General features: G+C 39.3%; 1 long non-coding RNA gene across 1 annotated transcript in view, besides 3 other annotated features; it reads left to right on the top strand.

Annotated features, from left to right (window-relative positions):
* Positions 1 to 11,503, top strand: part of LINC00504 (long intergenic non-protein coding RNA 504) — a 417,705-nt gene extending 406,202 nt beyond the window's left edge. The window contains exons 6-7 of the long non-coding RNA NR_126435.1: positions 4,510 to 4,621; positions 7,405 to 11,503. This is a non-coding gene — a long non-coding RNA (long intergenic non-protein coding RNA 504). The remainder of the gene's footprint in view (positions 1 to 4,509; positions 4,622 to 7,404) is intronic.
* Positions 305 to 862: an enhancer, noted in NCBI's record as "H3K27ac-H3K4me1 hESC enhancer chr4:14482730-14483287 (GRCh37/hg19 assembly coordinates)". NCBI's record gives its function as "activates a minimal SCP1, AML or CMV promoter by ChIP-STARR-seq in primed H9 embryonic stem cells {active_cell/tissue: H9 hESC(primed)}" and the evidence as "EXISTENCE:reporter gene assay evidence [ECO:0000049][PMID:30033119]".
* Positions 3,055 to 3,555: an enhancer, noted in NCBI's record as "H3K27ac hESC enhancer chr4:14480037-14480537 (GRCh37/hg19 assembly coordinates)". NCBI's record gives its function as "activates a minimal SCP1, AML or CMV promoter by ChIP-STARR-seq in primed H9 embryonic stem cells {active_cell/tissue: H9 hESC(primed)}" and the evidence as "EXISTENCE:reporter gene assay evidence [ECO:0000049][PMID:30033119]".
* Positions 3,556 to 4,056: an enhancer, noted in NCBI's record as "H3K27ac hESC enhancer chr4:14479536-14480036 (GRCh37/hg19 assembly coordinates)". NCBI's record gives its function as "activates a minimal SCP1, AML or CMV promoter by ChIP-STARR-seq in primed H9 embryonic stem cells {active_cell/tissue: H9 hESC(primed)}" and the evidence as "EXISTENCE:reporter gene assay evidence [ECO:0000049][PMID:30033119]".
* Positions 11,504 to 14,219: the final 2,716 nt, after the last annotated feature.

Here is a 14,219-nt window from a genome sequence, read left to right as displayed (position 1 = left end):
CATTCTTCACGTAGTTCTCGAGCCTTGGTTTTCAGCTCCATCAGCTCCTTTAAGCACTTCTCTGTATTGGTTATTCCAGTTATACATTCTTCTAAATTTTTTTCATAGTTTTCAACTTCTTTGCCTTTGGTCTGAATGTCCTCCCGTAGCTCAGAATAATTTGATCGTCTGAAGCCTTCTTCTCTCAGCTCATCAAAGTCATTCTCCATCCAGCTTTGTTCCATTGCTGGTGAGGAACTGAGTTCCTTTGGAGGAGGAGAGGTGCTCTGCTTTTTAGAGTTTCCAGTTTTTCTGTTCTGTTTCTTCCCCATCTTTGTGGTATTATCTACTTTTGGTCTTTGATGATGGTGATGTACAGATGGGTTTTTGGTGTGGATGTCCTTTCTGTTTGTTAGTTTTCCTTCTAACAGACAGGACCCTCAGCTGCAGGTCTGTTGGAATACCCTGCCGTGTGAGGTGTCAGTGTGCCCCTGCTGGGGGGGTGCCTCCCAGTTAGGCTGCTCGGGGGTCAGGGGTCAGGGACCCACTTGAGGAGGCAGTCTGCCCGTTCTCAGATCTCCAGCTGCGTGCTGGGAGAACCACTGCTCTCTTCAAAGCTGTCAGACAGGGACATTCATGTCTGCAGAGGTTACTGCTGTCTTTTTGTTTGTCTGTGCCCTGCCCCCAGAGGTGGAGCCTACAGAGGCAGGCAGGCCTCCTTGAGCTGTGGTGGGCTCCACCCAGTTCGAGCTTCCTGGCTGCTTTGTTTACCTAAGCAAGCCTGGGCAATGGTGGGTGCCCCTCCCCCAGCCTCGCTGCCGCCTTGCAGTTTGATCTCAGACTGCTGTGCTAGCAATCAGCGAGACTCCGCGGGCGTAGGACCCTCCAAGCCAGGTGCGGGATATAATCTCGTGGTGCGCCATTTTTTAAGCCGGTCGGAAAAGTGCAGTATTCGGGTGGGAGTGACCCGATTTTCCAGGTGCGTCCGTCACCCCTTTCTTTGACTCGGAAAGGGAACTCCCTGACCCCTTGCGCTTCCCAAGTGAGGCAATGCCTCGCCCTGCTTCAGCTCGCACAGGGTGCGTGTACCCACTGACCTGCGCCCACTGTCTGGCACTCCCTAGTGAGATGAACCTGGTACCTCAGATGGAAATGCAGAAATCACCCTTCTTCTGCGTCGCTCACGCTGGGAGCTATAGACCGGAGCTGTTCCTAGTTGGCCATCTTGGCTCCTCCCGAGTTCATTGTTTCTTTGTTGACTTTCTGTCTTGATCCTGTCTAGTGCTGTCAGTGGAGTATTAAAGTCCCCCACTATTATTGTGTTGCCATCTATCTCATTCCTTAGGTCTAGTACTAATTGCTTTAAAAATTTGTGAGCTCCAGTGATAGGTGCATATATATTTAGAATTGTGATATTTTCCTGTTAGATTAGTCCTTTTATCATTAATGTCTCTGTCTTTTTTTTTTAACTGCTATTGCTTTAAAGTTAGTTTTGTCTGATATAAGAATAGCTACTCCTGCTTGCTTTTGGTGTCCATTGCATGGAATATCTTTATCTACCCCTTTACCTTAAGTTTATGGGAGTCCTTATGTGTTAGGTGGATCTTCTGAAGACAACAGACACTTGGTTGGTGAATTCTTATTCGTTCTGCCATTCTGTACTTTTACAAGTGGAGCCTTTAGGCCATTTACATTCAATGGTAGTAATGAGACATGAGGTACTATTCTATTCATCATGCTATTTTTTTGCCAGAATACCTTGTTTTTCCCTCCTTGTGTTATTGTTATATAGGTCCTCTGAAATTTATGCTTTAAGGAGATTCTATTTTGATGTATTTTATGATTTGTTTCAAAATTTAGAGCTCCTTTTAGCAATTCTTGTAGTTCTGGCTTGATAGTGTTGAATCCCTTCAGCACATGGTTGTGTGGAAAAGACTATATCTTTCCTTCATTTATGAAGCTTAGCTTCACTGGATATAAAATTATTGGCTGATAATTGTTTTGTTTAAGGAGGTTAAAAATCGGACCCCAATCCCTTCTAGCTTGTATGGTTTCTGCTGAGAAATCTGCTGTTAATCTGATAGGTTTTTCTTTATAGGCTACTGGATGCTTTTGTCTCATAGCTCTTAAAATTCTCTCTTTTGTCTTGATTTTAGATAATCTGGGGCTTCCTTACAGCTGAACTGTAATAACCTGATGACTATGTGCCTAGATGAGGATCTTTTATAATGAATTTCCCAGGTGTTTTTTGAGCTTCTTGTATTTGGATGTCTAGATCTGTACTTCTTGTATTTGGATGTCTAGATCTGTAGCAAGGCTGGGGAAATTTTCCTTGATTTTTCCCCCAAATACGTTTTCCAAACTTTTAGATTTCTCTTCTTCCTCAAGAGCACCGATTATTCTTAGATATGGACATTTAACATAGTCCTAAACTTCTCGGAGGTTTTGTTCATTTCTCTAATTCTTTTTTCTTTGTTTTCGATGGATTGGGTTAATTCAAAAGCCTTGTCTTTGAACTCTGAAGTTCTTTCTTCTGCTTGTTTGATTCTATTGCTGAGATTTTTGGTACATTTTGCATTTCTCTGTGCTCTTGATTTCTATAAGTTATTATTTTTTATTTATGCTATTTCACTGAAAAATGTTCGTTTCATATCCTATATCATGTTTTTGGTTTCTTTAAGTTGGACTTCACCTTTGTCTGGTGCCTCCTTGATTACCTTAATATTTGACCTTCTGAATTCTTTTTTCTGGCAATTCAGAGAGAGATTTTATCTTGGTTTGGATCCATTGCTGGTGAGCTGGTATGAACTTTTGGGGGGTGTTAAATAACCTTATTTTGTCATATTACCAGAATTGTTTTTCTGGTTCTTTCTCATTTGGGTAGACTATGTCAGAAGGATCATCTGGGATTCAAGCACTACTGTTCAGATTCTTTTGTCCCATGGGGTGGTCCCTTGATGTGGTAGTTTCCCCCTTTTCCTAGGAATGGGGCTTCCTGAGAGCCAAATTGTAGTAATTGCTTTTGCTCTTCTGGGTCTAGCCACCCAGTGGAGCTACTGTCCTCCGGGCTGGTACTGGGGAGTGTCTGCAAAGAGTTCTGCGATGTGATGTCTTCAGGTCTTGCAGCTATGGATACCGGCACCTGCTCCAGCAGAGATAACAGGGGAGTGAAATGGACTCTGTGAGGGTCCTTGGTTGTGTTTTTGTTTAGTGCACTGCTTTTGTGTTGGTTGGCTGCCAGCCAAAAGGTGGCGCTTTCAAGAGTGTATCAAAACTGTGGTGCTACAGGGAGGATGCAAACTTGCTGTAGGGACACCTGGTATAGTATTCAGGATTCTCAGGTAGTGGGCAGGACTATAGGGCTCCCAAGAGATTATGACCTTTGTTTTTGGCTGCCAGGGCGCGTAGAGAAAGACCACCAGGTAGGGGCAGGGATAGGCATGTCTGAGGTCAACCTCTCCTTGGATGGGGCTTGCTGTGGCTGGTGTGGGGGATAGGGGTATGGTTCCCAGTCCAGTGGAGTTATATTCCCAGGGGGTTTATGGCTGCCTCTGCTGAGTCATGCAGATCACCAGGGAAGTGGGGGGAAGCTGGCAGTCACTGGCTTCACCCTGCTCCCATGCAGCTGGCAGTCCTAAAGGCTGGTCTCACTCCAACCGTGCCCCTCCAAGAGCACCAAGTCTATCTCCAGGCAGTCAGTGACCAGGGCTGAGAGCTTGCCCTAGACCACAAGCCTCCCCAGTGAGAAAGAAAGCAGACTTACAGATTTTTGGCATCTCAGGAAGCCTGCAGTGGTGATCTAGTTCATTCCAGGGGTCTATGAATTCTCTCGGGTTTCCTGTTATGTTCCTGAGGTAGTTCTTGGAGCAAAAGTTCACTATGTGTCTCCATACACTGCTCTGTCCATCCAAGTGGGAGCTGCAAGCTAGTCCTGCTTCCACCATCTTAATCCTTTGTCTCATTCTGTCTTTTAAATGAGACCAACACCTCTAGGTTTTGCCATGGTATCAGATGGTCCTTATTATTATGACTTTGAGTTCTATCTACATTTTTTTCACATGTATATTTTGCTTTATTTTGAACTTGGATATAAACAAATATTTACATATAAATTGGTTTATATTTAAAAATATTTTTAATCTAAAATTGTTTAATGTTTTCAAAATATTGAAAATATTTTGCCAGAATTTTTATAAATTTATCACAGGACTGTTGAAGGGGAATCTATTCAAGTTTTCTCTGCCATATTGTCAGAAATTGCCTCTACTGACTTTAAATAATAAGAAAATTGAAGCTAGGCTGAATTACGGTTTTCCTAAGGACTCATAGCTTTTAAAAAACAGGATTAAAATTCAAATACAAATTACCACAATGCTTAGCATTGTGCTTAATGTATAACAGAGTCTCAATAAATGCTTAATGTTTAAATGTTTACATTTAACAAGAGAAATGATAAGTACTTTCTTTGGTGTTGCCATCAATGATGGAGTGAGTCAGAGTAACACATCTCTTCTTCCCTAAACTTCACAGCTAAAAGAAGGTCTCAAGAGCCACAGATGTCTTGGATATTTCTGTATTTCAGACTCTACTACCCAGACACCAAAAGAAGAAATGATTAACCCTGGAGGCTGCCTTGGTCTAGGTAAGGAGATCTGTGATGTGATGCTGGCATTTGGGGAATGCTCAGTAATTTATCATTCAAGTCCTTTGCAAATGCTATACATTTCTTTTCTGAATCATCCTGATCCTTCATCTATCCAGTAGTCACGTTCTGAACAAAGCAAATGTTAACGGAGGACGAGGCAGCCAGCATTTTAATCCAGCTTTAAATGCTGGCAGAATTTCAGATAATTTACAAAGAGCTGTGAATAAGAAAGATCTATTACCTGTATTATTTCAAGAGAGAGAGAAAAAAAAGACATTCAGCTATACAAAATGTATTAAATTATTCATTGGGGAAAGCAGATTTTGATTTCCAAAACAAACATTTTGTTTAAAACCTGTAGTTGAAGTTTAAACGTTTATAGTACTATTTGATATACTACTCAATTCTTTTAACTTGTCTCAATGGTTCAGATCTCATCCTCCTGCATCGATATGTAGCACAGCATCCAGCCTGATGCTGTCAAAATATAGGCCAGACTGTGCTCCTCCTCTGCTTAGCAATGATGAACAGCTCCTCATCCAGCATACTCAGAGCCCAAATTCTAACACAGTGGCAATGAGGTACCTACAAAATCTTTCTTACCTCTCCTTCTAATTCAATGGCTTCTTCTCCTTTGGCCACATCTACTTCAGCCCTATTGGCTTCCTTGCCGTTCCTTAGACATGTCTGGTGGGCTTCTAGTTAGAGCTGGAACTTCAGCTCTAGCTCTTCTCTCTGCCTGCAATGCTCTTCCCCTTGAAAGTCTCATAGCTTGCACGCTCCCTCTTCCATTCAGTCTTGGTTAAATGTCATTCTCCCAGTAAGAACTTCCTGAATAATCCATTTATACTTGAAGCCTGTCTGCCCTGCTCCTGCCCTGACATTCTTGATTCCCTTTTATAAAATTTTTTTTCTTTTCTCTGGAGCATTTATCACCACTTAACATGCTAAACACACACACACACTTTAAAAACTTTTAAATTCATTGTTTGAATACCACCACCATATTGTCAGATTCATGAAGTTTGTTTATTTCTCCTAATATATCCTCAACTCCTAGAACATTTTCTGACACCAGTAGGCACTTAATAAATATTGGATGATGGATAAGTAAATAAGTATATTGAAATTCCACTTATTGAATCTTTACCATCTAAGATACTTTTCCATGCACTTTGCTTGTATTAATTTACTCAAGTGTATGAGGTAGGCAGGTCTTCATATATTTCTAATGTTATAGTTGAGAAAACAAAACATGTAGAGATCACATAGCTCTTGCAGTATACGTAATGAAACTTCAAAGTAATTTCTCTTTAGCTGGGTATGGTGGCACATAACTGTAGTCCCAGCTACTCTGGAGGCTAAGGTGGGAGGATCACTTGAGCCCAGGAGTTCAAAGATGCAGTGAGCTATGATCATGCCACTACACTCAAGCCTGGACTACGGAGTGAGGCCTTTCTAGTTATTAATTTATAAATAAATAACTAAAAAATAATTACTCTTAAAGTAAGTGACTGATTTTTCTATTGCCTAATGAATAGAGTAAATTTTTTTAGCTTTGCATTCAAGAATCTTTGCAACTTGCTCCTTTTCATCTTCCCAGAGAATTGACTGCTACTCTTTTCCAATTATACTGGGAAGTTTCAACAGAAAGAAAGGGGAGATAGGGAAACGAGGAAGAAGACCTATCATAACTACCTTTCTACCTTTGACCAAACTCTTTTTGTGCACCAGGAATCAGGAAAAATCTATTATGGGAATCACCTCATTTAATCCTCCTCACAGCCATGTGTGCAGACTCAGACTTAGAGAAGTTACGCGCCAGATATGTATTCATTATCCTTATAATTACATTGTCTCTTTCCTGGAAATACACCAGCAGACCCATGTGAATACTGTCTATACACAAACAAGCTTGGCCATTAGCCGCAGACCTTCTCTCTCATCTTGTTCTCCAGGGCCCTGAAAGTAGGCTGAGAAGAAGACAAACATGAAACCTCAAAGGCTTTGTATATCACGTGTATTGGTTTCCTACAGCTGCTCTAACAAATTAACATAAACTTAATGGCTTAAAACAACACAAATATATTATCTGACAGTACATTAGACCAGAAGTTTGGCATGGATTTACCTGGACTAATAAGCAAGGTATCTGCAGGGTTACATTCTCTTCTGGAGGCTCTGTGGGAGAATCCCTTTCCTTCCCTTTTGCATCTTTTAGATACTGCCTATACTCCTTGGTATGTGGCCTCATTTCCTCCATCTCTCTGACACTTATCCATCATCAGTCTCTCTCTCATAACCATAGGCAGGAAAGATTATCCACTTTTAAGGAAACACTTGCTTGTACTGAATAATCCAGGATAATATCAAGCTTCATACCCATAGTATACATGCAAAGTAAAGTATTCCCTGTTGCCACGGAATGTGACATATTCACAGGTTCCAGTGTTAGGGTGTGAATGGTTTTTGGGTGGGGGGGCTGGTGTGCATTGCTCACCATAACATCATGTTAAGAAGTTTGGGCTTCCTTCTAAAGATAGTAAAATCATTGAAGGAGTTGCAGCATAAGGTGGCTAAGACAAATTTGCTTTTAGAAAGATTGCACAGCTCTAGGTCTGAAACCAATGAACGTAGAATGGTCATATTAACTAAAAATAACTAATGCAGCATGTACTATTAACCACACTTCTGGTACTTTTTGATGTGTGTTGCAATCCTTAACTCATTTAACTTTTATCAGTTAAATTTATTATACTAACAATATTCCCATTCTATAGGTGAAAAAATATATGTACGATGACAGTGCAATCATACTAGAACTCAGGATTAAGAAACTCACTCAAAACTGCTCAACTACATGGAAACTGAACAACCTGCTCCTGAATGACTACTGGGTACATAACGAAATGAAGGCAGAAGTAAAGATGTTCTTTGAAACCAACGAGAACAAAGACACAACATACCAGAATCTCTGGGACACATTCAAAGCAGTGTGTAGAGGGAAATTTATAGCACTAAATGCCCACAAGAGAAAGCAGGAAAGATCTAAAATTGACACCCTAACATCACAATTAAAAGAACTAGAGAAGCAAGAGGAAACACATTCAAAAGCTAGCAGAAGGCAAGAAATAACTAAAATCAGAGCAGAACTGAAGGAAATAGAGACACACAAGAACCCTTCAAAAAATCAATGAATCCAGGGGCTGGTTTTTTGAAAAGATCAATAAAATTGATAGACCGCTAGCAAGATTAATAAAGAAGAAAAGAGAGAAGAATCAAATAGACTCAATAAAAAATGACAAAGGGGATATCACCACCAATCCCTCAGAAATACAAACTACCATCAGAGAATACTATAAACACCTCTACGCAAATAAACTAGAAAATCTAGAAGAAATGGATAAATTCCTCGACACATACACTGTCCCAAGACTAAACCATGAAGAAGTTGAATCTCTGAATACACCAATAACAGGCTCCGAAATTGAGGCAATAATTAATAGCTTACCAATGAAAAAAAGTCCAGGACCAGATGGATTCACAGCCAAATTCTACCAGAGGTACATGGAGGAGCTGGTACCATTCCTTCTGAAACTATTCCAATCAATAGAAAAAGAGGGAATCCTCCCTAATTCATTTTATGAGGCCAGCATCATCCTGATACCAAAGCCTGGCAGAGACACAACCAAAAAGAATTTTAGACCAATATCCTTGATGAACACTGATGCAAAAATCCTCAATAAAATACTGGCAAACCGAATCCAGCAACACATCAAAAAGCTTATCCACCATGATTAAGTGGGCTTCATCCCTGGGATGCAAGGCTGGTTCAACATACGAAAATCAATAAACGTAATCCAGCATATAAACAGAACCAAAGACAAAAACCACATGATTATCTCAATAGACACAGAAAAGGCCTTTGAAAAATTCAACAACCATTCATGCTAAAAACTCTCAATAAATTAGGTATTGATGGGACCTATTTCAAAATAATAAGAGCTGTCTATGACAAACCCACAGCCAATATCACACTGAATGGACAAAAACTGAAAGCATTCCCTTTGAAAACTGGCACAACACATGGATGCCCTGTCTCACCACTCCTATTCAACATAGTGTTGGAAGTTCTGGCCACAGCAATCAGGCAGGAGAAGGAAATAAAGGGTATTCAATTAGGAAAAGAGGAAGTCAAATTGTCCCTGTTTGCAGATGACATGATTGTATATCTAGAAAACCCCATTGCCTCAGCCCAAAATCTCCTTAAGCTGATAAGCAACTTCAGCAAAGTCTCAGGATACAAAATCAATGTGCAAAAATCACAAGCATTCTTATACACCAATAACAGACAAACAGAAAGCCAAATCATGAGTGAACTCTCATTCACAATTGCTTCAAAGAGAATAAAATACCTAGGAATCCAACTTACAAGGGATGTGAAGGACCTCTTCAAGGAGAACTACAAACCACTGCTCAAGGAAATAAAAGAGGATACAAACAAATGGAAGAAAAGTCCATGCTCATGGACAGGAAGAATCAATATCGTGAAAATGGCCATACTGCCCAAGGTAATTTATAAATTCAATGCCATCCCCATCAAGCTATCAATGACTTTCTTCACAGAATTGGAAAAAAGTACTTTAAAGTTCATATGGAACCAAAAAAGAGCCCACATTGCCAAGTCAATCCTAAGCCAAAAGAACAAAGCTGGAGGCATCATGCTACCTGACTTCAAACTATACCACAAGGCTACAGTAATAAAAACAGCATGGTACTGGTACCAAAACAGAGATATAGATCAAAGGAACAGAACAGAGCCCTCAGAAATAATGCCACATATCTACAACTATCTGATCTTTGACAAAACTGACAAAAACAAGCAATGGGGAAAGGATTCCCTATTTAATAAATGGTGCTGGGAAAATGGCTAGCCATATGTAGAAAGCTGAAACTGGATCCCTTCCTTACACCTTATACAAAAATTAATTCAAGATGGATTAAAGACTTAAATGTTAGACCTAAAACCGTAAATACCCTAGAAGAAAACCTAGGCAATACTATTCAGGACATAGGCATGGGCAAGCACTTCATGTCTAAAACACCAAAAGCAATGGCAACAAAAGCCAAAATTGACAAATGGGATCTAATTAAAGAGCTTCTGCACAGCAAAAGAAACTACCATCAGAGTGAACAGGCAACCTACAGAATGGGAGAAAATTTTTGCAACCTACTCATCTGACAAAGGGCTAATATCCAGAATCTACAATGAACTCAAACAAATTTACAAGAAAAAAACAAACAACCCCATCAAAAAGTGGGTGAAGGATATGAACAGACACTTCTCAAAAGAAGACATTTATGCAGGCAAAAAACACATGAAAAAATGCTCATCATCACTGGCCATCAGAGAAATGCAAATCAAAACCACAATGAGATACCATCTCACACCAGTTAGAATGGCAATCAATCATTAAAAAGTCAGGAAACAACAGGTGCTGGAGAGGATGTGGAGAAATAGGAACACTTTTACACTGTTGGTGGGACTGTAAACTAGTTCAACCATTGTGGAAGTTGGTGTGGTGATTCCTCAGGGATCTAGAACTAGAAATACCATTTGACCCAGCCATCCCATTACTGGGTATATACCCAAAGGATTATAAATCATGCTGCTATAAAGACACATGCACACGTATGTTTATTGCGGCACTATTCACAATAGCAAAGACTTGGAACCAACCCAAATGTCCAACAATGATAGACTGGATTAAGAAAATGTGGCACACACACACCATGGAATACTATGCAGCCATAAAAATTGATGAGTTCATGTCCTTTGTAGGGACATGGGTGAAGCTGGAAACCATCATTCTCAACAAACTATTGCAAAAGGACAAAAAACCAAACACCGCATGTTCTCACTCATAGGTGGGAATTGAACAATGAGAACACATGGACACAGGAAGGGGAACATCACACTCTGGGGACTGTTGTGGGGTGGGGGGAGGCGCGAGGGATAGCATTAGGAGATATACCTAATGCTAAACGACGAGTTAATGGGTGTAGCACACCAACATGGCACATGTATACATATGTAACAAACCTGCAGGTTGTGCACATGTACCCTAAAACTTAAAGTATAATAACAATAATAATAATAATAGGAATCTAAAAAAAAAAACAATTTAAATAATGTCACCTAAGATTTTTTACAATTAGCAAGTGCTGGGGATTCAATCCAGGGAGTCTGACATCCAGAGCCAATACTTTACTACATGAAACAGCCCTAAAAAGAGCAGAGAATCTGTCTTCACAGATTTTCAAAGAGTAAGGAAACATGGTTAGGCCTAGTGGTCAGGGAATGCTTTGTAGATGCAGTGGGGTGTGGAAAGAGGCCATGAAGAAGAAAGAGGATTTGAAAGAAGAGAGAGGAATGAAGAAAGACTTCTAATAAATATGCTTGCTACGATCAATTCTGTGTCCTCCCTTTTCTATAAAATATGATCCTTGGCCCCTATAATTTCTTGACTCTAAATGTTTGAAAGAGTGAATCAGCATTATCATGGAACAATATGTGCTGATGGGTATAGTCTCCCCCTTTGATTGGTACTTTGCAAGTTTCACAAATAACTAACCACCTGAGAACTTGTCTCCCTTGAACTGAATTCCATTTTAATTTTGTTCACCTTCTTGATTCTCTTCTTTTTGTGTCAAAATTGTACTTTTGCAAAGATGATTTCAAAAGTGTTTTCTTTCTGATTTAGTGCGGCCAGTTTTCAACATTCGGTCTGAAATTGAGGAGTTGCTGTATGAAAAGTGAATTTATTTGAATGGTAAAGTTTCCTGTGAACAGAAATAAAGTATTGTTTCACTCTGAAACTCCTGAGAGTCAGCCACTGTTATTTTATTTGTAGACTTCCTTCCATAGGCTTCTTTAAAAATTTTCAAATGACATCAAACAACCTTCTTCTTGTTATGAAGTAGAAAGTCCTTTTATCTGTAGCTAGGAGGATGCTGTGGGAATTATCAAGCAGGGACAACCAAGCCTATTTTTTATAACAATATATTAACTCTAAAAAGAAAACCTTCTAGTCTCATTGTGACATACCTCCTCTATATCTATAATCCTTAAATTCAGAGATGGTTACAGGAAAGCAGGCCATCAATAATCAGGTAGTGAGATCATCCATGCTCTCGCATCCTTCAAGGGAAGAGACAACATTGGCAGAAGGGAGATAAGGGGAAGAAGAATTTATTGTTCAACTATTTTGTGCTAAGCAAAGCACTGTGTTATGTATTTCACATACCTTAAATCATTTGGCCATTTGAAAACTCCCTGAGAAAACTATTCGTACCTCCATTCTACAGATGAGTAATGGAGAAAAGAATAGTTTTAAATTAACAAAGAGATAAAGAGAAGCTAAGCAATTTACTCAAAAATTGTGTGAGTGGCAAAGCCAGGATTTGAATTCAGATATTTTAGGCAGTAATAAATCATGTCATTTACACTGTCAATTTAATTCTGAGAAGTGATCATTTATGTAAATTTCTTTTTGTAATAAAAAACATAAGAGAAAGCAGAAGATTAGAAAGTGTTGTGCAGAGAGAAGAGTAATCATTCACTGAACACTAAATAAACGTGTTGAATATCAAATGTACTCTTAGACCTATACTTTAAAGCATGACTTAGTAATAATGATATTTGGATTTCTCCCATCAAAAAGCTTTCACTATAAGTTAAAAAATGAGTATTTTATGTCTATAGTGGAGTTAATAAATAGCATTCAATGAGTGCTCAATTTTATCGCACAGTGCTATGGTTTGAGTGTTCCCCACCAAAGCTCATGCAGGAATCTTAATTTCCATTGTGGCAATGTTGGGAGGTGATACTCTACAGAGATGATTAGGTCATAAAGAGAGATTACTGTCTTTTTATGAGATTGGATTAGTTTTCTGAGGAATGGATTAGTCCTGGTGAAAGTGTGTTGTTGCAAATTGAGGTTGCGTCTCATGTTTGGCCACTTTGCTCCCACCTACTTTTCTTTCTGCCTGTTCACCACATTGTGACACAGAAAAACGCTGTCTCTAGAAGCCAAGCAGATGCTAATGCCATGCTCTTGGACTTTCAGTCACCAAAATCATGAACCAAATAAACCTCTTTCTTTATAAATTATCCAGCCTCAGATGTTCTGTTATAGGAACACCAAATGGACTCAGATCCAAAGATAAAAACATTCTTTAGTATATCTCCAGGCTTCGAATTTGCACACATTTTTTCCATGCATTATCTCATTGAATTTCCAATCCTTCCATGAGATGGGCATTACTTGACCTCCTGTATTTTATTAAACCAAGACTCAGGAGCAGTTCAGCACCATAGCTAAGATAATGCAGTTAATAAATTGTGAAGCCATATCTAGAACACTGTTATTTACCTACCAAGACATAGTACTTCAGGCCCTGTAGGCTGACATCCTAATTAATCTATGAATATAAACAATAAAGTCTTATGATCACAAAGGTAAGATATCCTCTGTAGAACAGTCTGGGGAAATTTGCCCTCTTGGAAACTTTTCATCATCTAGCCTTACATAAAGATACTGCATGTTTCTCCACCTATTATGGTGTCATCTCTTGGGATTTCAAGTTCAAACTCACATTTGACCCCTCCAGAACTGGTGTGTGTAGACACTTCCCTTGATATTTTAGATCACCTCTCCCCACCAATATCTCCTGTAGCATTGGAATTTTCTGCTATGGACTTGGATCCTCAGAATCCAAGTGCCATTTTCTGGGCCAGTTGTGACCTCTGCTATAAAAACAAATAGGACCCAAATCAGCTAATGAAGAGACAAATCTTAAGGAGAGGCTTCTAGCACAGGAGAAACCTAAGCTGGGTTCTGAAGAATGGGTGAGATAAGAGGAGGGACACTGGTAGTGAAAAGAGGAGAGAGCAAAATTAAAAGAATAAAGGTGAATGGCTCTGATGTGTACAAGGAAAGTGAGTAAGAAGCAAAATATTGTTCACTAAATTCCAAGGTTGCCACACCACAAACGTGTCTTCAGTCCTTCTTTAGTTCTCGAGTTCCAAATACATACATGTGTGCGTGTGCGCGCACACACACACGGACACACACACACAGCTGTTACTAAACTTCACAGAATTTTTACTTTTTAGTTAGAAATATGTGGACATAAAAGGCTTTGGAGGATTTTGTAAAGATGTAGTGATTCCAAATGTACAGTTTTGTCAGTTTGCTTTTATACTCAAAGCACTGCATAGCTTTCAAAGTAAATATAGATTTTGTTATGTTAGAAAGCTCTGAAGTTACTGTCTTAAAAATTAAAGTAGGAACAGCTTCAGCAAATAGTTGCATAACACATAAGCCTAATGTTTTGATGTATGACTCTCATTAGTAACGTCCTGGAGATGTCATAGCTATAATTGATGCTATTCATTATCTGTTTGACATCCTATGATACACAAAGATAAAGGGGGAAAGAGAAGAGATCTAGCAGTGTTTGACCACCTACTAAGTGACAAGAACTGTGCTTGCTTGATATTTTTCATCACTACGTTTTCCTAACGGTTTTA

Source organism: Homo sapiens, chromosome 4 (genome assembly GCF_000001405.40).
Source record: "Homo sapiens chromosome 4, GRCh38.p14 Primary Assembly".
NCBI classification, from domain to species: Eukaryota; Metazoa; Chordata; class Mammalia; order Primates; family Hominidae; genus Homo; species Homo sapiens.
The sequence above is the reverse complement of the archived record's forward strand: the minus strand, read 5'-3'. Positions and strand labels throughout refer to the sequence as shown.